General features: G+C 34.2%; 2 long non-coding RNA genes across 3 annotated transcripts in view; one reads left to right on the top strand and one right to left on the bottom strand.

Moving 5' to 3' along the window:
- Window positions 1–1420, bottom strand: part of LOC105370462 (uncharacterized) — a 72153-nt gene extending 70733 nt beyond the window's left edge. The window contains exon 1 of one of the 2 annotated variants that reach the window (XR_007064129.1): window positions 1226–1420. This is a non-coding gene — a long non-coding RNA (uncharacterized LOC105370462). The remainder of the gene's footprint in view (window positions 1–1225) is intronic. The other variant, XR_943784.3, reaches the window with a different exon arrangement.
- LOC105370463 (uncharacterized) overlaps window positions 1–25630 on the top strand; it is a 117571-nt gene that overhangs the window by 28796 nt on the left and 63145 nt on the right. The window contains exons 2-3 of the long non-coding RNA XR_943786.3: window positions 1322–1436; window positions 9683–9767. This is a non-coding gene — a long non-coding RNA (uncharacterized LOC105370463). The remainder of the gene's footprint in view (window positions 1–1321; window positions 1437–9682; window positions 9768–25630) is intronic.

Genomic DNA, 25630 nt, shown 5'->3' with positions numbered 1-25630 from the left:
GGAATAAGAGACAAAACAGTTGTGCCTGAAGTAACTTTAGTACAGATTTTAAATACTTTACTGGCTGTAGGTCTACTGTAAGTGTTTATTACTCTAAAAAATCATATTTTTCCCTAAAATTATCTAGTCAAATTTTTCTAATTATATTTTCATAAACATTTTCATATTTTAATCCCTTTTGTAGTTACCTTTTATTTCTAATATTATGTTTTCCTTGATTTTATTTGAAAAAATTTATTCCTTAACAAAGATTTTTAAACAGCTGCAGAAAGTAATAAAATATCTTTGTTTTTTATTTCATGTAATATACTCATATCAATTATTCCCTTTCTTCTGCTTGTTTATGTTCTTTGTTCATTTAGGAAGTATTTATATGGGGATGTTTAGATTATTGAATTGCGATTTTTATTCCTTTTAATATATACTGAAAGCTATAAGCTTTAGCATTAAATATTGCTTTATTCATCACATACTATTTAATATGTAATGTTTCCTTTATTTTTTAACATTAAATATATTGCTAGATTCTGACTTAATTATTTCTTTAACATATCATTATTTTGCAGCCTACTTTCTTTTTCTAAATTTATGATATAAATGCATTTAGGTTTCATTTATGTTATTGATTTAATATTTTGTTACATTGTAAACTTTGCTTATTATGAATGGAATTAATGGTATTTCATTATATTTTTAGTATCCATTGAGATTCCTCGATTACAATATATTTATGATTCTTAAATGCTTGAACATGTATTTTTAATACATGGAAACAGGATACTGTATATGTGTACTATGTACAATTTGTTAAACATATTTGTCAAATATTCTACACTTTTTCTAATATTATATCTGTTTAAATGATCTATAACAAATATATAAACACATATACATATTAAAATTTTTTACAAATGTTTTCTTTTGATTCTCCAATTTTTTCCATATATTTTGAAGATATATTATTATCAAATATTCAATTTATTGCATATTCCTATTGAATTTGCTATTTTATTATTATGAAGTCACTTTCTGCTTTTATTATATAGTGCTAAATAGAAAACATATCATCTGTAAAACTTAGCAGCATAAAACAACAATAATTATTTGGCTTGCCAACATGCAGTTTTGAAAGATCTATATGGGAGAGACTTGTTTCTATCCCAGGCATCCTCAACTGAGGCTCAGTTGAAAACTGATGGATTTGCTTTTATGATGGCTCACTCACACGGGCAGCAGTCAGTAGGGTGGTCATCAGGCTGAGGGCTAAACGACTTGATTGCTCTTCATGTGAAACTTCCCTTTGGCTTTGATTTCCTCACAGCATGGTGACTGGATTCCAAGGGAAACTGTATCAAGAAAAACAGCACCAAAAAAAGTCATGTCACCTTTCCTGACCAGTGATGCAGCTTCCATTCTACCACATTCCATTCATCAAGGTAGGCACAAAGCTCTGCTGAGATTCAGTGGGCAGGAAAATAACCCTCACTGTCATTGCCTAGGGCCTTAGCAAAGTTCTAAAAGAACATTTAAGAAGACAGACATTCTTGCAGCCATTTTTGGAAAATACAATCCACTACACATTCTTCATAGTAATGTAAGCTTAGTTTTTGTTTTATTTTGCCCTTATATCTAGATTGATATTCATATTAATTTACCCATATAAGTATTCATCATGTTCTGGTTTGCCTAACATATCATTTTTAAGCCCCTTAACTGCCAACTATTTTGAAAAATCAAATCTGAGATATCTATCACATACAAGTGTAATCCAATTACAGTTTCCAATAATTTCCCGTATATAAGCAACATAGGAAATTTTAAGTGTAGTTCTAGCCCACTGCAATAAAGCAAATATCATAATAAAATGAGTCACACAAATTTTTTGGCTTCTCAGTACATAAAAAAGTTATGTTTACACTATAGTGTAGTCTATCTTGTGCAATAATATGTTTTCAAAACTATATGTGTTAGTATGTTTTCATGCTGCTGATAAAGACATACCTGAGACTGGGCAATTTATAAAGAAAAATTGACTCACAGTTCCACATAGCTGGGGAGGCCTCACAATCATGGTGGAAGGCAAAAAGCACATCTTACATTGCGGCAGACAAGAGAGAATTTGTGCAGAGAATCTCCCCCTTGTAAAACCATCAGATCTCATGAGACTTATTCACTATCATGAGAACAGCATGGGAAAGACTTGCCCCCATGATTCAATTACCTCCCACCAGGTCCCTCCCACAAAACACAGGAATTGTGGGAGCTACAGTTCAAGATGAGATTTGGGTGGGGACATAGCTAATTCATATCACCATGTATATATACCTTGATCAAAAAATACTTTATTGCTAAATATAAGTGCTCACAATTATCTAAGCCTTCACCAAGTCATCGTATTTTTGCTGATGAAGGGTCTTGTCTTGATATTGATGGCTGTTGACTTAAGAGGCTAGTGGTTGCTGAAGGTTAAGCAGGTTTTGCAATTGTTTCAAATAAGACAATGATGAAGTTTGACACATTAATTGATTATTCCTTTCACAAAAGATTTTTCTGTAGCATGCCAAGCTGCTTGACAGCATTTTCCCCATAGTAAAACTTCTTTCAAAATTGGAGTCCATCTTCTCAAACCTTGTTGCTGCTTTATCAAATTGATGGAATTTAGTTGATAAATCCTTTGTTGTTATTTCAACAATGTTTACAGCATGCAAATCTGGAATAGATTCCTTCTCAAGAAACCACGTTCTTTTCTCATCCAAAAGAGGCAAATCCTCATCCATTCAAGTTATATCATGAGATTTCAGCAATTCAATGACATCTTCAGGTTTTACTTCTAATTCTTGTTCTCTTGCTATTTCTACCAAATCTATAGTGAGAAGTTCTGAACCCCTCAAAGTTGCTTATGAGAGTTGGACTCAACTCCTTTCGAACTCCTGTTAATATTGATATTTTAACTTTTCCCCTTGAATCAAAAATGTTCTTAATGGCATATAGAAAGGTGAATCTTTTCTAGAAAATTTTCATTTGAATATGACTTTGCCCATATTCATCAGAGGAATTACTATCTATGGCAGCTATAGCCTTATGAAATGTATTTCTAAAATAATAAGCCTCGAAAGTCAAAATTGCTTCTTGATCCATGGGCTGCAGAATGGATGTTGCATTAGCAGGAATAAAAACATTTATCTTCTTGGATATCTTCATCCAAGCTCTTGCATGGTGAGGTACATTGTCAATGAACCACATTATTTTGAAAATAATCTGTTTTCTCAGCAGTAGGTCTCAACAGTGAGATTCAACTATTCAGTAAACCATACTTTAAAGAGATGTGCTGTCCTTCGGGCTTTGTTGTTTCGCTTATAGAACACAGACAGAGTAGATGTTCTACAATTCTTAAGGACCTTAGAATTTTCAGAATGGTTAATGAGCATTGGCTTCAACTTAAAATCACTAGTTCAAATAGCTCCTAAAAAGAGAGATAGCCTATCCTTTGAAGTTTTGAAGCAAGGATTCAAAAGATTTGAAGAGGATTGGTTTCTCTCTCTAGTTATGAAAATTCTAGATGGCATCTTCTTCCAAGGCTGTTTTGTCTACCTTGGTAATCTGCTATTTAGTGTAGCCATCTTCATCAATGATCTTAGAGAGGTCTCTGTATAACTTACTGAAGGTTCTCCATTACAACTTGCTGCTTCACCTTGCATTTTTGTGATATGCAGATGACTTCTTTCCTTAAACCTCATGAACCAAACTCTGCTAGCTTCAAACTTTCCTTCTGCAGTTCCCTCACCTCTCTTAGCCTTCACAGAACTGAAGAGTTACAGCCTTCCTCTGGATTAGGCTTTGTTTTAAGGGAATGTTGTGGCTGGTATGATCTATCCAGACCACTAAAACTTTCTCCATATCAGCAATAAGGCTGTTGAGCTTTCTTATCATTCATGTCTTCACTGGAGTAGCACTTTTAATTTCCTTCAAGACCTTTTCCTTTGCATACACAATGTGGTTGTTTGGGGAAAGAGGCCTAGCTTTCAGCCTGTCTCAGCTTTCAACATGCCTTCCTCACTAAGCTTAATCATTTCTAGCTTTTGATTTAAAGTGAGAAACTTGCGATTCTGCCTTTTACTTGAACACTTAAAGGCCATTGTGGGGTTATTAATTGGCCTAATTTCAGTAATGTTGTGTCTCAGGGAATGAGGGGATCCAAGGAGAGGGAGAGAGACCAGGGAACAGATCATAGAAGGAGCAGTCAGAACACACACATTTATGGATTAAGTTTGCTGTCTTATATGAGCGCTTGTTCACGGAGCCTCGAAACAAATACAATAGTAACATCAAAGACTACTGATTACAAAACACCACAACAGGTATGATACTAATAAAAAAGTTTGAAATATTGGAACAATTACAAAAATGTGACCCAGAGAGGCATTTTTGTAGTGAGCACATGCTGTTGAAAAATGGCACCAATAGACTTGTTCAACTCAAGTTTACCACAAACCTTTAATTTGTAAAATTGCAGTATCTGTGAAGTGTAATAAAGCAAGTATGCATGTGCATTTATTCTTAGCTAGTTTTTTGAAATTTATTATACTTTCAATTTTTTAAAATTTATTTCTTCCTTTTAATTTTGGTTGCTCATATGTTTTATTTCCTCCTCTTTCACTGTTTTGAATATTATACACTCCATTAATTTGTCTTTATGAATATAATTAAATTTTGAATTTGTACCTTTGACATTAAAATTTTTAAGTTAAGTACTATAAACAATTTATAGAACTTCAAGTAAAATTATCATCTTGTGACTTTTCAAAAATTACTTTTATATAACCTTGTTTTCACATATTAATGTGAGTCACTATTTTCACTTTTTCTTATCGTAGTTTTAGGTTTACTAATTTATTTGCTCAACTTTCCTGCTTGCATCTCATTTCTTCCTTTTGAATTCAATTTCTTTCTCCCTGAATCATAGTTTTCAGGGATGCTGTGTGAGCAGTAGCCTCACTAAGTCTTTATTGAATAGAATATGTTTGGTTTACTCTTAATCTTAATTAACAATTTAACTGAGTGCAGGGGTCTAGGTTGACAGCTAATTTATCTTTGCAGCTTTAACATTTTGAATTTGTTATTCTTTTATCTTCTGGACTGTATTATTATTTTTGCTGTTGGTTATTTGCAACCAGTTAATTTGTAACTAGTATGTCCTTTATTAGGGCTGTTTTTCATTTTTGTACTCTACATTTCAGTAAAATTTTATAAGATGGTTTTATTTTTTACTTTTTCTCTATATATTTCCTCTGTTTGTTGACTGCAAAAACACTTGCTTTTTATTAAATCCAGAAAATTATCAGCCTCTTTGTCAACATACATAGCCTTCATCCATTCTATTACCTTCCTCTGAGATGTTGTTTCGACCTTGCCAACCTATCTTCCACAACTCTTAATTTCTCACTTACTTTTCACCTCGGTATTTCTCTAAACTGCATCCTAGTAAATAATATCAGGTCATTTTATTAGCTGTATTTGATATGTTGCTTAATGACCCACTGAGTTTGTAACAATAATATTTTTTATAAATACATTTTAGACATTCCATTTTACTTTTGTCCAGATTTGAATTTTTACATTTTTTTCTTCACGGTTTTAATATACAAATTGCTTGAAAAATAATCATTTCTTCTGTATTTCTCTTGTTGTAATCATGCTTACTTTTACTCATGGCAGATAATTTTCTAATATGTGTCTAAATAAGTGGATGAAAATCTTTAATAAAACATGATATATAGGGGTCCTGTGTAGCAGAGATGACAACTGGGTAAAAAATTAAGATAAATGGATACTATAAGGGTAACATATAAACGAACTTACAGAAAAAAAGCTCTAGAGAGAACTAGTAAAAATAAATACTAACATAATAGCTGATAATTTTTGGAATTATTCTTCTGGTGATATAAGACAATGTATATAATGAAAAATCTCAATCTTAACATATTTGAAATGTAGGCTATGGGTAAGAATCCTCATAGAAAATAAGTATTCTCTATTCAAAATCTTCTGAAGATGAAAATTTTTTTTTGTGGGGGTGGTGGCTGGTGAATATACTTCTTTATTCGTGTAGAACTTAATCTTTTCGTGGCTTTAAGAAGGAATGTCATTTTCAGCCCCTCAAATACTTACCTCCCCCATGGCCTGAGATCCCTCTCCTGTTTCATATAGATGCTTTAACAACCCAATTCCCAGGTCAATGAGATGGAATCCAACCCCCCGAGGAAGCCAGAGCATCACGATTTTTACATTTTCTATATCTGTTTTTGATAATTTTTTATTTGCTCTCAAGAGCACAAATAGTCATTTAAAAGACAACTTATTTTTTCTATCCTTTGAATCTGCATGTAACAAACAGGTTTTCAAATATTTTCACCCAAAACAAAAAAACCAACCCTGTCTTAATCCATTTCGACTGCTGTAACAAAATTGATAATTTATAAACTATATAATTTATGCTCACAGTTCTAGAAGCTGGGAATTCCAAGATCAAGGCACTAGCAGATTCACAGTGTCTGGTGGGGGCCCGTTTCTTATAAATGACACCGTCTATGTGACCTTACATGGCAGAAGAGCAAGGCAGCTCTCTGGGTGCTCTGTTATAAGGGCATTTATCTTATTCATGGGGGTGGATCACTCATTACCCAGTCACTTCCCCAAGACCCCACCTCTTCATACCAATGTATTGGGGATTAGATCTCAACATATTAATTTTGGAGAGATACAAACATTCAGACTATAGCAAGCTTTCAATTTATTTCTTCCCTGCTTCCCTATTTCCAACTGCAAATCACCATCTTCAGAGAGTTCCTGAAAACATTGTTATAAGGAAATCTGATTAAACACATTCATAAGAAGTTATAGGATTACTTGCATTTTAACAGAAGATGCTTATAAGCATAAAAACAGTTCATTTATTTGATATCATCTCCAGTTAAAAACCAGCACCTGGAAAGTATTGGTGAAATACACCTAGCCTTGTAACAAATTCTATTTAATCATTTTACAAAAGCATAACTTTTATTATCAGCACCACACTCCTACAATAAGTACAGTAGTACTTCCTTATCTAAAATTTCCATTTCTGTAGTTTTAGTAACAGGCAGTCAATGGCAGTCCAGAAATATTATTCATACATGAAAAGTTGCAGAAGTAAATAACTTATAATTTTTTAATTGTGCACCGTTCTTAGTAATGTGATGAAATCTCATGCCAGCCTGCTTCCCCTGCACAGGATATGAGTCGTCCCTTTGTCCAAAGTATCCATGCCATATATGCCACCTGCATGTTAGTCACTTATTTGCCACCTGGGTTATCAGATTAAAAAAAATAGTATATATAGGCTTTGGCTTCAGTACTATACATGGTTTCAGGAATCCACTGAGGGTCTTGGAATGGGTCCCTAACAGGTAAGGGGGGACAAATGTTATCAAAAGTTCATGGGTGAGTCAGAAGAAACATATATTTTATTACCATAATCTTCATGAATAGCTATCAGTTAAAAATCTCAAATTAAAAACAAAAAATTGTTCACTCATACAGCATGTTCCCGCTTTAGTTCCCATACCATTTTAAATAACAAAACAAATCCTGTAACTATATATTATAATAAAATATACAAATAAAGCCATTTTAATTTTGGTGTGATTTTTGTTAGTCCTACAGTTTTTACATTAAAATTTATGTAACAGTTGTCAAGAAGTAGTCACATGTGTCTCTGTCTCTTCTTTAGTAAATACTTAGAATATTGTTTTATTTTCTAGTGTTTTATAGAATGAAGGGTTCATGACATCTTATTAACCTAGTAGAGAACTAAAAGTGTAACCAAAATTAATTTTTTATCTTTGACTTTAGACGATCATAAAATTAAAAAACTAGATAGCTTTTATACTGCATAAAGTCTTTTCTAAATAGCCTTTCTGAAAAGCAGTTTAAAGACTTTTACATGATTTAGTAAATAGAGTTTTTTGTCTGCAAATGTTTTCATATGCTCATGCAACCACTGTTATAAAACATTTGTTCTGTTGGTAATAAAATTTTGCCCTCACCCCAGGTTTATAGCATAATTTTATTTCAAAAGCAATATTCAGTAATACTTCATTTAACAAGGGTTCTGGGAATAAAATTCATTTAAGGCAAAGTGACTTCTTCACTTCCTATTAACTGAGGTTATTGAAAGAAAAAGCTTTTGGTATGGTTAAAAATTTATGTTTTCTTCCTTTGAATTAATAGGTTCAGAGCAGAAAGAGTGACTTACTTTTCAAAGAATAATATTTCTCAATAAGGAAAGCAAAAAAGTCAATCATAAAATAATAGTAATAGTGTGATAACAATTATAATTATAGCGTTGCTTGCCCTTCCACAGTCTTTGCTAAAGAAATCACCCAGAATGATATTTTTACAGGTCATATCATGACACATCTCTTGTGGCATCCCATCTTCTTCATTGCCAGTAGTCAAATTCAAGCCCTGCCTACCATTCACAAAGCCCTAACTTATCTGGCCCCTATCTACCACTTTGGTTTCATCTCCTACCATCCCCCTCCCCTTGGGTTTCTTATTGTTCCTCGAATGTGCCAAGCATTCTCCCTTCCTTGAAAATCTGTGCATGCTGTTCCCTCTCCCAGAATGTTTTTTTCCCAGATATCCTTAATGCAATCAAGTCTTCATTGAAATATCATCTAAGAGGATGAAATCAATCACTCCAACTTAAGTAGTATCCACTTGTCACTCTGTATCACCTTACACTGTTATATTTTTTCATAACGTTTATCACCATTGGTTTATTTACTAAGTGCTTACTATGTACGAGATGCTGTTCTAATCACTGAGAAAAGCAGACAAAAGTCCCTGCTCTCATGAAACTTACATTTTAATTTAATATCAGATAATATGTTTACTCTTTATTGCCCATCTCCTGCCATAACCCCCACTTGGAAACTAAGTTCCATGCCAGCAGTGACTTTATTTTGTCACTGTGGTATCCCCAGAACCTATATCAGTGCCTGGCAAACTGTAGTTCTTAAACAAACATTTATTGAATAAATGAATGAATACAAATAAAAATGAAAGTCATCCTATACAAAATTTTCAATATAAAAACAATTAAATGCATTATCTCTTTCAAGTGATGAATATGATGTTGATTACCTCATTTTGCAAATTAACATGAGGCTATTTAGAAAGCTTACATGACATGCAATGTCACATGCCTTGTACATTGCACAGATAGGACTTGATCCAGCAACTTCTGAGTAAAACTTTAGTTTTTTTCCACAGTAAAACATTACCCCCACAGCCTTACTATCAAGTCTTGATTACCTGATTTAATGGAAAGAGTAGACTAGTAAGGATTTTATGATGACATGAATGCAGCAGGTACACTTATTCCGTGCTAGCAGAGCCTTCACTGACCATGAAGGATGAAAATACCATATGTTCCCTTTCCTACTGCATTTCCAACTTGGAGTAGACAATATAACACGAGGGAAAATCTACTTGAAATTTTTGAAGTGAAACTATTTATCTTAATAAAAAGAGAAAGGTATATAAGAAAGGCTGTCTTTCTCACACCCTTTGTCCTTGTCACCCACCTCTCAATGTGTTTGTCACCTGCTTTCTTCTTCCCGTTTCTGAATGTGTTTAGAATGTGATGGTTGGAGCTGTTGTAGCTGTATTACAACCAGGAGGAAAGACTTTGCTGACGTACTAAGGATGGAAACTAAAAAAAGGTAAGAGGCATATGCGCTCCAAATTATCATCTTGATCTCTGCGCTATGTCTGGAATGACCCACCTCTTTAATTCTTGTTATATAGATAAAAATAAACCTGTGTTGTCTAAGTCAGTACTGGTCACTTCCTCTCTTGCTTTGTAGCTACAAATGATCTGATAGATTAAAAAGGAGAAAGAGAACAAGTGTTAAATTAGCCAATTTATGATATTACAGCCTCTTTCATTTCAAATTATTAAATAATTAATCTCTCTTTTTCCTGATCCCTCTCTGTTATCCTCCCCAAGATGACATACAGAGCTATGGAAAAGATTTGTGTGCTCTTAAGGTCTCAGAAAAGGATACAGTCCCATTAGTCACAGCCTTCTGGCTTCTTTTTGGTCTCTGCTTCCAAGTGGCTAGCTAGGATTAGTTTCTGCTGAGAGAACAACTGCTCCTTCTGACCTTGGTGACATTGACATCAATTCTTCCTATTAACTGTTCACCTCTTTGATATTTGCGAATGGTTTACTCTTCACTAGATCAGCTCCAGGAGTCCCTATATATTGGCTTAATCTCATTTCACCTATTGGTAGTGCTTCAGATCCCCTGAGATTTGGCTGTGACTTCTATTCATACTCTATCCTGAATGAGTCCTCTGTACTGTTGATCACAGAATCACATCTTGCAACACAGCACACAAAGGAACTATGATATTTTATGTGTCTCACTGGAGCCACTGACATTCAGGGTAGTCTCAGAGAAGTTAAATGAAAGCATTCAGCCTGGATAAACACACCACAGCACAGATTATATTCAACTGTACTTGTCTTAGTTTGTCATAGTCCTAGCTTGTCAAAGTTGCCAAACTCCAAAACAGATAGTTGGAGAATTAAAAGTGCCTTCTTTCTTTGACCTTTCCCTCTAACTGTGTTGTATACTCCTTTCTTCAGTAAGATCAGTCTTACACAGTAGAGGAGATTACTGCAAAACTTGTCACCCTCCCTTCACATCTGTTCATTTAAAAATTTATGCGGGACTAAGGCGCAGATTTTCTGCTTAATCTTTTTTCACCTAGACTTCCTTAACACATATCTTTCATACTTCTACTCCCTCTCTGGTGTTGTGATGAAAGAATGGAACTGAGGAGTAATTTATGGGGTGGGAGTAGTAAAAAGTTTAGCAATTTAACATTTTAAGGCATTATTTTCGTTACTCAACCAATTGAAATTGATAAAAGCTAAGCTAATATCAGAAAGATGATGTATTGAAAAGATAGTGGATAGCTCAAAAATCTAAATGGAATGTATATTAGTTTGTTCCCACACTGCTATAAAGAACTACCCAAGACTGGGTAATTAATAAAGAAAAGAGGTTTAGTTGACTCACAGTTCCACAGGCTGTACCGGAAGCAAGGCTGGGAGGCCTCAGGAAAATTAAAATCATGGCAGAAGGTGAAGGGTAAGTAAACATGTCTTACCATGGCAGAGCAAGAGAGAGACAGAGTGAAGGGGGGCGTGCCACACTTTTAAACCATCAGATCTCACGATAACTCACTATCACAAGAACTGCAAGGGAGAAATCCACCAGTATGATGCAATCACCTCCCACCAGGCCCCTCCTTCAATTCCATATGAGATTTGTACAGGGACACAAATTCAAACCATATTATTCTGCCCCTGGCCCCTCCCAAATTTCATGTTCTCTTACATTGCAAAACACAATTACCTCTTCTCAACACTCCCCCAATCCTAACTGTTTCCAGCATTAACTCAAAACTCTACAGTTCAATGTCTCATCTGAGACAAGATTAGTCCCTTCTGCCTATGAGCCTGTAAAATAAAAAACAAGTTAGTTACTTCTGAGATACAATGGGAGTACAGGCTTTGTGTAAATGCTCCCATTTGAAATGGGAGAAATGGGCCAAAACAAAGGGGCTACAAGCCTCATACAAGTCCAAACCCCAGCAGGGCAGTCATTAAATCTTAAAGCTAAAAAAACAAAAAACAACAACAACAACAAAAAAACCTCCTTTGACTCCATGTCTCACATCCAGAGAACACTCATGCAAGGGGTGGGCTCCAAAGGCCTTGGCAGCTGCACCACTGTGGCTCTGCAGGGTACAGCACCTGCAGCTTTACATGGGCTGGCATTGAGTGCCTGCTGCTTTTCTAGGCACATGGTTTAAGCTGTTGGTGGATCTGCCATTTTGGGATCTGGAGGATAATGGCTGTCTTCTCACAGCTCCACTAGGGAGTGCCTGAAATGCCCAGGAGACATTTTGCCCATTGTCTTTGCTATTAACATTCAGCTCCTCTTTATTTATGCAAATTTCTCCAGCCTTGAATGCCCCTCCAGAAAATGGGATTTTCTTTTGTACTGCATGGTCAGGCTGCAAATTTTCCAAACTTTTATGTTCTGATTCCCTTTTAAATATAAGTTCCAATTTCAGACCACCTCTTTGTGAATACATATGACTGAACACTTTCAGAATAAGCTAGGTCACATCCTGAGTGCTTATTTGCTTAGAAATTTCTTCTGCCAGATACCTTAAATCATTTCTCTCAAGTTCAAATTTCCACAGATCCCTAGGGCATGGGCAAAATGCCACCAGTCTTTTTGCTAAAGCATAGCAAGAGTGACCTTTACTCCAGTTCCCAATAAGTTCCTCATCTCCATCTGAGACGACCTCAACCTGGACTTCATTGTCCATATCACCATCAGCATTTTGGTCAAAACCATTCAACAAGTCTCTAGGAAATTCTAAACTTTCTCACATCTTCCTGCCTTCTTCTGAGCCCTCTAAACTATTCTAACCTCTGCCCATTACCCAGTTCCAAAGTTTCTTCCACGTTTTCAAGGATCTTTATTGCAGAGCCCAACTCAAAGTACCATTTCTGTATTAGTTTGTTCTCACCCTGCTATAAAGTACTACATGAGACTGGGTAATTTATAAAGAAAAGAGGTTTAATTGACTCACAGTTCTGCAGGCTGTACAGGAAGCATGGCTGGGAGGCCTCAGGAAACTTATGATTATGGCAGAAGGGGAAGAGAAAGCAAACACATCTACCATAGTGGAGCAGGAGAGAGAAAGAGTGAACATGGAAGTGCCACACACTTTTAAACCATCAGATCTCATGAGAATTCACTCACTATCATAATACCAACAAGGGAAAAATCCACCCCTATGATCCAATTACCTCCCACCAGGCCTCTCTTCCAATTTGACATGAGATTTGGGCAGGGACACAAATCCAACCCATATCAGAATGCTTTATAATTTGTCAAAAACCAAACTGAGAATTATTCGGTGGACTAGGTAGTGGAAAGCAAGGTAAGTCTCTTCAGGGTACCATCAAGTAATGTAGATGAATAAGTTTCAGCCTTCCTCAGTCTTTTCACTCTAGCTTTGCTCAAAGTTCAAATTCCCAGCAAATTAAGTCTGTTTGTTGCAGCTCGGGTCTCATGCCTATTCCTTAGCTGTAAGAGCATGGACTCTCTCACTGGATTTAATGGGATAAAGGGTAATTCCCACACAAAGATTCAGAGTGCTGTTTTCAGAAAGCTAAACAGATACCAGGCAGCAAAGCAACAGATGACTATTTTACTAGGAGAGATTCGGATGAGACAGACTTCTCAGTTTCTTCCTTCCTTCAGACATTTTTCATCCTTAATAATCCTTAACATAATGTTGCTGTCATTACCTCTCAGGCAGAAGTTACAGTTTCATCTCAATGAATACATAGAAATAAGGATTCTTTATCAGTAAAATATTTTATTTTCTTAATCATTTTAGTTGATGCTAAGGGATCCCAGAAACACTGGGGTCCGACAAAACAGCACAACTAACAAACATATAAAGGATGTAGATTCAGCTTTGGGAGCATCTCACCATCATCATTTTAAACTAAATGCATATTACTTATGTTCCTTGTGCGTAAAGAAACAGGAGCTTCCTGTCTAAGCTACAGAACTAATAAAGAATTACAACAATAGACTTGAATGAGCTTGGATCAGTTACTTGTAGTTTTTGGCTCAGCCTCCCAATATGTAAAATTAGGCAATAATAGTGTTTCTCTAGACAATCTTGTTTGAACCAGGAAAGAACAAGCAAGGTAATAGAAATAAAATGCTTTAGTGTACAAACTATGTTCCTTGCTATCAATACTAAAAGGTTGTATTTAATCAATGCTAGTTATATTAAAGCTTTACTCAAGAAATATACACTGAGTACGGCTTATGTAAAATACTTTATAAAATGTTGCTTTTCACAGTAAAACAATTTTTGGATCAATATTTTATTCATAACTCCAGTTTAACTTCAACATAGTCAGTTGAATCACTAAACTCAACTTCTTTCCAAAAGCGAGTAACATTTAATAAATTTGAGCAAAACATATTCTGAAAGGAAGAAAATTGAAAGCCAGAGACACAAAAATATAAGACATATTAAAGATATGTATCAGTATACTAACAAGAGGAAAATAATCTTACCCTTGTTTTGCAGCAAGCTTTAGTCACGTTTTATAATGTAGAACAGAGTAAGCTCTAACATTTTATCTCTAATTTTTGTAAAAATTTGTTTTATATTATATACTTTAAAACTTCTTTAAAGGTTAACTATATCACTTGTATCTCAAAATTCAATTTCCCATCTGAATTTCCTAAACAATCCAAACGGATATTTCTTCTTCCTCATACAAGTGTTTGGCAGAAGAAATTCCTACAATATTATGAACAGAGTTCTTAAACTACATTCCAAGGCAAAATAGATCTCTCTGGGGTATGTGATGTTCTAGGATCTCAGAAATTTACACTTTCAAGAAGTTCCACCTTATAGTATCCATTTTTCAGTCTGTTCCTAATGCCAATATACAACACACAGGCAATTTATAATGCAGTAAACAGACACTCAGGTTGGCTTTTTTTGCTGAGCAGTTTAAACAAGGCCACTAAAACAATGACACCCTGAAAATAACCTCTTTCATCTTGTGTATAAGCAATCGATATTAAGACACTAGAATTACTAAAACACCAAGATAAGTAGTTTGAAAATATCTTGCTTTAGAAACAACTGCCTGGGCTAAAATTTATGGAAAATAATCTAGAGTATGAAGAACATATTATAGAAAAAATGAAAAATATAAAATATATACATGTATACATTCCTATATGAGAAAAATGCAAATTAATGCATGAAACAATGATTGTGATTAGGTCATATGTGAAAAATTACTCGAACAAACAAGTAATTAAATAAATTCTTTGTCTGGCCAAAATTAAACAAACTGAGTTTCTTTTTCCATTAATTTACTATTTTAAAAATGATTTTTAATGAATCTATTGGTTACATTTATGTGTCATATAAAAACCATAAATCTAACAACAAATCTTATTTTTATTTTTTCTAAAATAAATATGAGACTGATACAACTTCATTTCAATTTGGAAGGATGAAACATATTGTTGGCTATTTAAATATTTTCTAAAAATGTAATGTATGTTGATTGGCCCTGCAAGACAGCAGGCTCATCCAGTAAAAAGGAATCATAGCTTTAAACACAATCATATTTCAAAATGACAATATTCAGGACAAGATTTTAAAATCTTCTAAATTAAAATAATGGCAGTATCCTACAATATATTTATATATCTCTGAGTGTGATGTGAAAGGGTAGATAGTAATGAATAGAATCACATTCCCAAGGAGTACAAAAGAAAACCATATTTTAAATTAGAACTTTATCTGGAATTTGCATAAGCTGGTACAATTTGCAAATGTACTTTATTCTGAAAGAATGGAGAACCTGATTTCCAGGGAGTAAAAACGTCATCAGTCTGTACCTTAGCAGCAACGTTTGTAAGTTTTTGGACCTAGATGCTTTTATTAAACTAAATGTTATAACCTAGTAGCAATTTTTAATTTATGATCAATAAAATATAATAATAAAAATAATGTCAGAAGCTCTCATCTATTGAATATCAATTCTTTGCCAAGAATTGTGTTAGTCACTAGTTACATGAATACAGTATTATAAGACTGTAACTTAGAAATTCTCATATTACTGATAGGACCTTGAAGCTTAGCGAAACTAACATAATTTTTCCACTGCAGTAACCTACATTGTCCTAAAGACTAATTAGCATAGATAAGTACAGTAAATAAATGACTCTTTTATTTCTTTGATAACAGAAATATCAACTAGTTCTTGTCCAATTTTAACTAGCTATCTATACCTCCAACCCAGTCAATGACCTTAGCTGTTTCCAAGACAGTTATTGTTAAGTAATTTAGAGAAAAAAGTACAACTGACATATTATTTATCATGTCTTTTATACAGCCAGAAAATTTATGAGCCATAGTATGAAAATGGAGGATAGTACAATGGCCAATTTTGTTTTCTTCTGTGGTTATTTTTTCAAACTCTGAATTTACCAGTTTCATTTAATTTATTTTAAATTTACATAATGCTTTAAGTTTTATATAGCATTTTAGTATGAGAACTAGAAAAATCTCCCACTGACAGATTTGAGAGAATTGGGAATTATCTATTTCACTCCTACATGACAACAATTATAAACACAGAGTGTACTTTGTACTTATAGAGTTCTTCAAAATGTTTAATACGTTTTTGCAACCATTCTATATTTCTTTAAATGATTCTTGGAGGATGAGAAAGCATATAGAACTTCATTTTATAAAAGAAAGTAAAGATAGTTATTACTGTAAGTTAACAATGTAATGAAAATTTATATCTTGGTGTTGATCTTGCTTTTTCCGTTTCTAAAATGACACATGTAATACATGGTTTTACTTGTCATTTAATTTGTCTTATCAAGAGCCAGTGAAAACATTGTTGAATTAAAAATAACATTTAATAATATGTTTAATTGGGTTGATTTATGTAATTCATAATTAATTTTACTTACTGTATGTAAACATCTTCAGACATATCATATAATCACATGTTATCAATGACTTTTCAATCACTAATTCTGGAAACTTCCAGAATTTTGAAATTCTCTTAGCTTTCAAATCATTTGAACACATTTTTCTACTAAAAAATCTAATCTCTTGTGCTCTGTGATGCTGTTTCCCTTGTCTTTTCTTGAACTGCCTCTTTTTGTCTCCATAGCCAGGTGTTTTTGTTTTTTCTGCTCTCCCACTCTATAATTTAAAAAATTGATTCAATGAACATTTTCCCCTTTATCCCAGCTTTATAAATTCTCACAGAATACTCTAGCACCTTCATGAAGATGACTCCAAACTTTTCTCTAACAATGGTGGTTTCTCTATTTTACTTTTTAAAAATACTTCATTGTTTTGTTTTCAATGATTACTTTCCTCTATGGTTTCTATCTTTAGTTTTATATCACAAAAAGCTATTTTAAATGGAAGGTTTAGTAAATGGTGACAGGTGCATTCTTCTACGACTTTTTTGTTTCTTTTAACATATGTTGTATCTCAAATATATTTTTATGACATAGAAAAATATGTGTCATAAAAATGACAATATTCAGGATGAGATTTTAAAACCTTCTAAATTAAAATGATAGCAGTATCTTCTATATATTTATAAACTGCCGAGTGTGATGTGAAAGGGCAGATAGTAATAAATAGAATCATGTTCCCAAGAGTACAATAGAAAACCATAGTTTCCACTAGAACTTTATTTGGAATTTGCATAAGCTGACACAATTTGGGACTGGGCATAGTGGCTCATGTCTGCACTTTGGGAGACTGAGGTGGGAGGATCACTTGAGCCCAAGAGTTTGAGATACAGTGAGACACCCATTTCTCGAAACAAACAAAAAAAATGTTTTGGTTAGTTAGCTCTTCAATGAAATATCTCTATTTCTAAGTAATAATCTTACTGAACGTTAACCTGGGATAATAACATTACAGTTCATTTGCTGGATTTATCCAGAAGATAATCATATTATTAGAGCTTTATACAAATAAGGAGGATTTTATTGTAACTTTTCAAATATCATTTTAATTTAAAAAATTTTTATTTTATTTTGCATTAGATAGGATGATATCAACATTAGTAAGTAAAAATGATGATATCAAGCACCTCAGGTTATTCTAGAACAACTTGACTGTCAGGTTTTACCATGAATTGTGATGGTAACTGCTAATTATTATTTGTTATGATATGGAAATAAGGCTAATTTTTCTAATTTAAGAATACTAAAAGCTTTATTTGGTGACTTCATTGTTTTGAATCATAAATATATGGCCTGCTAGAATTATAGTTTCCACAATTCCCTATACTTTGAAAAGCCTAGATTATTTTAGTGATTTTTTAAAATAATGATGAGAATTGCCTTTAAAGCTATCTGGACTGGCAAGTTAGGACAATTTTTTTAAAATGTATGTGATTTATTTTATTTTATTTTCAGCTTCTTATTTAATTTTTTTGTTAAATAGCATTTTCTTCAAGATGAGAGAGAGGAAACTTTGCATTTTAATAAAATGTAGTATCAACATAAACAAATCTTAGGATAACCATAATATTGGAATTATAACAAAAAGCCTTCAAATTTCCAATTAAAGATATGCTCGAGGACTCTAAGAAGATAGTGATAAATTAATGATGCATATTCTAATTCTGCCTAGATCAACTACTCAAAAATGAATGCAAATACATGTAGTTTAAAAGCCTGTAAAGGAATTAAAATAAAATAATCAGTTCAAACAAATTAAGAAAGAAAAAACACACAGGAAAATTAATAACAACAACAAAAAGGATGTGACAAATAGAAAGTAATTATTGTAGTAACACAATATACATGAATGCAAACATGACTGCGAACCTACTAAAATCTTCAACTCAAAGACCTTGATTCTTAGCAAGATCTAACTACACACTGTCTGTAAGAGATGGACATTAAAGATGTCTATTGCTTGAAAGTAAAAAGATTAAAAAAATACATACAAGGAGGAAGCATCAAAACCTGCCATGGCTTTATTAATATTAACTAATATAGACTTCCAGAAAAGGGATATTACCAAATTTAAAGTGAGACTTTCCACAACTGAAAAAAGGGTCAATTTACCAGGAAGACATAACAGTCTTAAATGTGTATGTGCCTATGTACTGAGCTTTGGAACATATGGAATAAAATTAAGCAAAATGGGAAATCCAAAGTGATGTTTGAATATTTTAATTTGTCTCTCTTGATAATTCATAGATGATTTGGGAAACAAATTAAGTAACGACATAGAAAATGTTAGCAACATTATTAACCAACTAGATCCAATTGTTATTTACAACAATTATTTACAACAGAACAGTTGTAAATGTAATTAAACATTTATAGAAAAGCAACTTCTAGTTTCTATTATTTTAATAAACAAAGTAGTCATGGATAGCTTTTAATCAAATTGCAGTATCAGCATGTAAATATTATTTTTAATGAATATTTTCATGTTCTATATTTTAGGAATTATTTTTTATGAAGGCAGTGTTACTCAATGATGTTCCAGTCTCTCACTAAGTTGAAGTACAGTCATGATACTTGTAGTAATTGTTTCAGATTTCTCATTGTAATTTATAAAGTACATGTATAGCTATTTGGTAGATATGGCTGGTTATTGTCAGTCTGTTCCCCCACATCAGATTCATTTTCAAACCTTGTTTTTTCCACTCTGTGTCTAAAGATAATGAGCATTATTACCTTATTACCTCCAAAACTTTCTGGGATGACAGCTTTGGGTTAATTATTAGAATATACAACTTTCTTATTTTCTCTGTGGTTTTTATTTGTTAATTTGCACTTTCATAGGAAAAAAATCCTTGCATAATGAGAAAGGCAATAAAGAAAATCAATCTTAGGATAACTCAGATGTTAAAATCAACAGAAAAAAGGCCAAGTAAGAATTCCCCTGAAGATGGCCTCTTGATGTATTGGCTACTGAGGTCCTGGGAGGAGATCAGTGGAAAGGAGGAGAAAAATGTTTAAGTATATTTTTTCCCATGCCTCCTTGTTCTGAGTCCCTCTATGACCACAGCCTCATTGGGACTGCCCCTCTTTCATGGATCCAGCTCCCAAGACTCCTATAATATCTTTTCCTCAGGACTAGGAGTTTCCTTGACTTCCTACTACTGTTGCTGGTTTCTGGATATCACAGCTCAACATTTGCCCCACTATAGTGTGTATTTTCTTCATGAAAGCTATAATAGTTCTAAAAAGTATTTCATATTATATTCTGTGTCCTCTTAAACCGTGGCATAGCTCCCCAATTCTTTTGAAACAAAATGCCAACCTTTATGAAGCCTTAAAGATCTTTTTTGATTTGTGCCCCCACTCCACCCCACTACTATTACCCTAGACTTCTCTCTCACTTTACTCTGACCACATAGTCCATCCCTTTCTCATACCCACCAGCCACAATCCCTCATAAGGATCTTTGCGATGGCTATATCCCCTCTTTGTTCCACATGGTGAATTCCCTCACCCCTTCAAGTATTTGCTCAAATACGTCTTTCTTAATGAGATCTGACCTGAACATACAAGTTGCAATTGAGATCTGTCCTCCTCCATGCCTAGCACTGAATTCTTCTTTCCTTGTTTGATTCTTTCCATAGCATTTATCATCACTCAACACACGACATATGGTTCTTATTTTCAATGCTTATCATTATCTATGTTCCCCCCAAAATGAGAACTCTACATGAAACAATATTTTATGCTTTTATCACTGATGAGTCCCAAGATCCTGCCTGGTGCTCTAATAATATTTGTTGAATGTTTTTGCCTTTCAATTACTCTCATTCACCATACTTCTACCACCACAAAGGCACTGAACTTCCACTAGTTAGCTCCCACTTTTTAAGCTCTTTTTCCTGAAACATTTTGATGAAGAGTATCTTGGCGGTACCTTGTCTAAACTCTTGGATGACATATGTATCTCACTAAAGATTAAAGCCTTTTCTGTTTCTAAAATTCTCAATCCTTATAATGACATTAAGATCTCCAGTCATTGCCTCACTACATTTATTTAGCAAATTTAAAAGTTATAGAAAAGTCTATTGTCAATCTACTTTTCAAAATAAAATTTGTATGTTTTGGTCTAGATTCTTAAAGGACACATACACACACACACACACACACACACACACACTTATACACACATTAATATTCTTATGAGCCACATAGTATAATAAGTTTTGTGTGACATTTGTTGAGAAACTTCAAGCTGATGTTGCACTTCTCTCTTAAGCTCAGGGAATTTTTTTTCTGCTTTTTTCTTTTATCACTAATTTCCATTTATCTTATTTTTCTTCTTCCACTGCATTTCTTAAAGCAACAAATATGAGACTACTGTAAAAAACAGTGATCTATAATAAGGTAGGTATTTTAATACAATGATTAAGAATGTGGCTCTGCAGTCAGACTAAAATACTTGAAACTAGCCCCACCATATTCTAGCAATGGTGACTTTAGGCAAGTTCCTCAAGCTCCCTGTATTACTTTTCTTATTTGTAAAGTGTTAATAACTTAAAAACAGCACCTACTTACAGGGTTATTATGAAGACTAATTTATTAAATATAAGATGGCAGAAATGGTGTCTGATATATTCAATAAATATTATTACTATTATTATATTTGGCAGAGAAAAAATGGAAAATATAGTGTTCAAGAACAAAAATTACAGATTTGATGTAAATATATCTAACAGAAAATTTAAAGCATGTTTTGGGAAGCAATTGTTTTGATTTTAATCAGATAAATAGAGGGTGTCCATAGATCCAGGAATATGAGACTGATAGTCAAAAGTAAGGAGTGGCAATAAACTATAAAAATTGCCATGGGCAAGTCCTATGAAATCTAAGAACACTCTGCTGAATGTATTCAACTCTTGCACAGTCATACTAAAAAATGTAAGTCTCAAGGCATGCTGGGCCATGCTATAGGCTGGTTCTTAGCTTGAGGCTTCACCCAGAGTTTGCAAGTATCTGCCTTAACCTAGCTTAACTCAATGAATCACAGAGATGAAAGAAATGAACCAATTGTCATCAACATAGTTCTCCGATTTCTTTGAATATCGTGTGTTATTTGTCTATATGGTTTTAATTGGGTGTTATATATGGTATTTCCTCTGATTTGAACTCTTTGCACATTACTATCATTTTTACCTATTATTCATATTTCAGATCTCATTTTAAATATCACTTCCTCTGATAAGACTTTCTGACCTTATTAAGAGTACTTTCAAATAATCATTATTCACTCTCTTAGCAATCTGTACTTCCTTGATCAGACAATTTATCATGCTTTGCTGTAATTACTTAATTTTCTGTCTCATTTGCTTGACTCTTGTCTCTTGCAAAAAAAGAACAGTGTCTACTATGCTTAGTGTTATGTCCCAAATAATTAAGATACTGTTTTACATAAAATTATAATAGATGCTCACTTAATATGTAATAATATTAAATATATACTAAGATCCACTGTCTTATATGTTTTGCTTTTATGAGTCATTGATTTCTTAACCATGTCCTCTATTTCAAAAAATTTGTCTTTTTAATATCCTATCTTATATTTACTCCTTCCATTGTGCTTTTTAAACAAAAAATAGTCAATCATGTTTTCCTTTTACAATAATTTGTATACATTTTTATGACTGCTTTTAACCTATTCAATCCCATTAAATATCCTTTCCAATTTTATTAAAGATATAAGTTGAAATTTTTAAGTTTTCATGTTTCTTACAGGAACATTGTTTCAAATGGCCGTGATTTTGTCTAATACAGAAATTGTTCCCTTTGTGTCTCATGCTAATTTTTTATAAGTTATGTGAATTTTATTCATATGGTATTCATAAGATCTTACATGGCCTTTCACCAGAAATCCACATTAACCTGAGTCCTGACTTGACTGTCACACTATATCCCAAGAGGACTCAAACAGAGGAAACACAGAAAGAAGTAAAGGAATCAAAATAGCATGTTAATTATAACTTGACTTTTGGTCCCAAACCATTATGCAATACACTAATGATGTGAACAATCTGACAGGGAACATATGGAATACTCTTTTGCCTCATTTGCTATAGAATAGTACTCAAAGACAAAGAAAAGAAATGACCTATTTCTCCTACATCATGCAAATATCAAAATTTAAAATTATGTTGAGATATGCTGCACATAAGAAAATATATCTGGAGAGGCAGAGTAGAAAATAGTATTTATCCCTGATGTCTAGAACCTCCTACCCAGACATTCCTAAATTGAAGCTTTTGGCAAAGCTGTTATGTGAGAACAAGATGGGAAAGGAGGAGGCAGCAAAGGTACACAGAGAGGAGGAGGATAAGAAGAAGAAAAAGAGCAAAGAATAAAGTTCTTGGAGATAGCTAAGATGGCTGACTAGATGCAGCCTGGAAGACCTTCTCCCATGAAGAGAGAACAGACAAACAAGTAAACAAGCAAACTCCAAATAGTTCTTCAGAAAGAAAACATTTACAGGGGACAGAGGAAGGCAACAGACACCAGGCTAAAAGGGGAGGAAGCTAAGAAACCTGCAAAGGGTTGCTGAGCATGAGGACTTTTTCTGGCTCCAAGTGTCTCCTAGGGAAAGGGTGAGTGAAATAGGCATGGGGTGGCCCACTTTCACCATGGACCTCTGGGATCTTAGCTGGAGGAGACCCTGTGACCCCCATGGACATTTGAGTTGGCAAGAAAAACTACTCAGAGACTTAGCAGAGACCAAAATCTAGCCTGCATGAAGCCCAGAAAGTTTTGTGTAGGAACAGCTGCACTGGAGCATGGCCATGGACATCCACCTCCCAAGGATTGGTATACTCCTCCAGGCAGCTTTCACATTAGTTAGCTAGTGGACATGGACAGAGCAAGGCTGTCTTGCCCATGGGACAGGAACAGTCTGATCTGAGCACCACTCTGTCTGCCAGCTTTTCTCAGGGTCCCTGCTTGGCCACACCCACTTGCAGTTTAGCCTCAGCTTGCCAGCAGACACTACCATAGCTCTTTCACTAGCAGACCCTGCCTACCTGTCAGCGCACATTTGCAGATGGACCCCACAAGTGGACACCCACCTACAGCCTTTCTCCACTGCCCCACTGGAGTACACATGTGTGCAGGCCCACCACTACCCCACCAGAGCCCTTTTAAGGGCAGCCACCATCAAAGTGTGGTTGCCAGAATACTGGGAATGCCTCAGACTCTCCAGTGCAGCAAGTGCTTAACCAGGAGGAGGAAGAGAACAAAGCCACAGGCCTGGTCTCACCTACATAGGGTTAAGGCACACAGCCCAGGAGTACTAAGTGGAGCCTTGGTCTCCTGAAACCATCCAGAAACAAAGCCAATTGACTAAACCCATTTTATACCACAGTCAAATCCTCAAGGGCATCAAAAAATATGAAAGCAAAAAGCCACAGCCAAAAGACAGCAACTTCAGAGATTAAAAGAACATCATCAGCACACAGAGATGAGAAAGACCCAGTGCAAGAACTTTGGCAACTCTAAAAGCCAGAATGTCTTCTTACCTCAAAACGATCATACTAGCTACCCAGCAAAGGTTCTTAACTAGACTGAAATGGCTGAAATGATAGATATAGAATTCAGAATCTAGACAGCAAGGAAGCTCATAGAGATACAGGAGAAGGTTCAAACTCAATCCAAGGAACACAGTAAAACAGCCCAAGAGTTGAAAGATGACATAGCCATTTTTAAAAAGAACCAAACTGAACTTCTGGAAATATAAAAATTTGCTACAGGAATTTCAGAATGCAACTGGAAGCATTAATAACAGAGTAGACCAAGCTGAAGAAAGTATCTCAGAGCTTGAATACTGCTCCTTTGAATCAATGCAGGCAGACAAAAATATAAGAGAATTTTTAAAAATAAACAAAACCTCTGAGAAATATGAGATTATGTAAAGAGGCCACACTTAGGACTTATTGGCATTCCTGAAACAGAGAGAGAGCAAGCAACTTGGAAAACATATTTGAGGATATTCCCCATGAAAAATTCCTGAACATGGCTAGAAAGGTCAATATGCAATTTCAAGAAATTCAGAATATCCCTGAAAGATACTATATTCCTAAGACACATAGTCATCAGATTCTCCAAAGTCAACATAAAAGAAAAAATCTTAATGGCAACTAGAGAGAAAGGTAAGGTCATGTACAAAGCGAACCCCATCAAGCTAACAGCAGGTCTTTCAGCAAAAGCCCTAAAACCCAGAACAGATCAGAGCCTGTATTTGGGATCCTTAAAGAAAAGAAATTCCAACCAAAAATTTCATATCTCACCAACCTAAGCTTCATAAGCAAAGAAGAAATAAATTTCTTTTTTAGACAAGCAAATGCTAAGGAAATTTGTTAACTCTAGACCTGCCTTACTAGAGGTCCTTAAGGGAGTGCTAAATATGGAAACGAAAGATCGTTACCAACCACCACAAAAACACATTTAAGTATATAGCCCACAGACACATCAAGCAAATATACAACCAAGTTTACACAACAACCAGCTCACAACATAACAGGATCAAATCCTCACATATCAATATTAACCTTGAATGTAAATGGGCGAAATGCCCTATTTAAAAGACCCAGAGTGGTAAGTTGGATAAAGAAGCAAAACTCAGCTGAATGCTATCTTCAAGAGACCCAACTCACATGTAAAAATATTCATAGGCTCTAAGTAAAGTAATGGAGATTTATTAAGAAAATGGAAAACAAAAGAGAGCAAGGGTTGTCATTCTTATTTCACACAAAACAGACTTTAAACCAACAATGATCAAAAAGGATAAAGAAGGGCATTACATAATGAATAAGGGTTAAATTCAACATGAAGACTTAATTATCCTAAATATATATGCACCCGACATTGGAGTACCCAGATTCATAAAACAC

Source organism: Homo sapiens, chromosome 14 (genome assembly GCF_000001405.40).
Source record: "Homo sapiens chromosome 14, GRCh38.p14 Primary Assembly".
NCBI lineage: Eukaryota > Metazoa > Chordata > Mammalia > Primates > Hominidae > Homo > Homo sapiens.
This window is presented reverse-complemented; position numbering and strand designations above follow the sequence as displayed.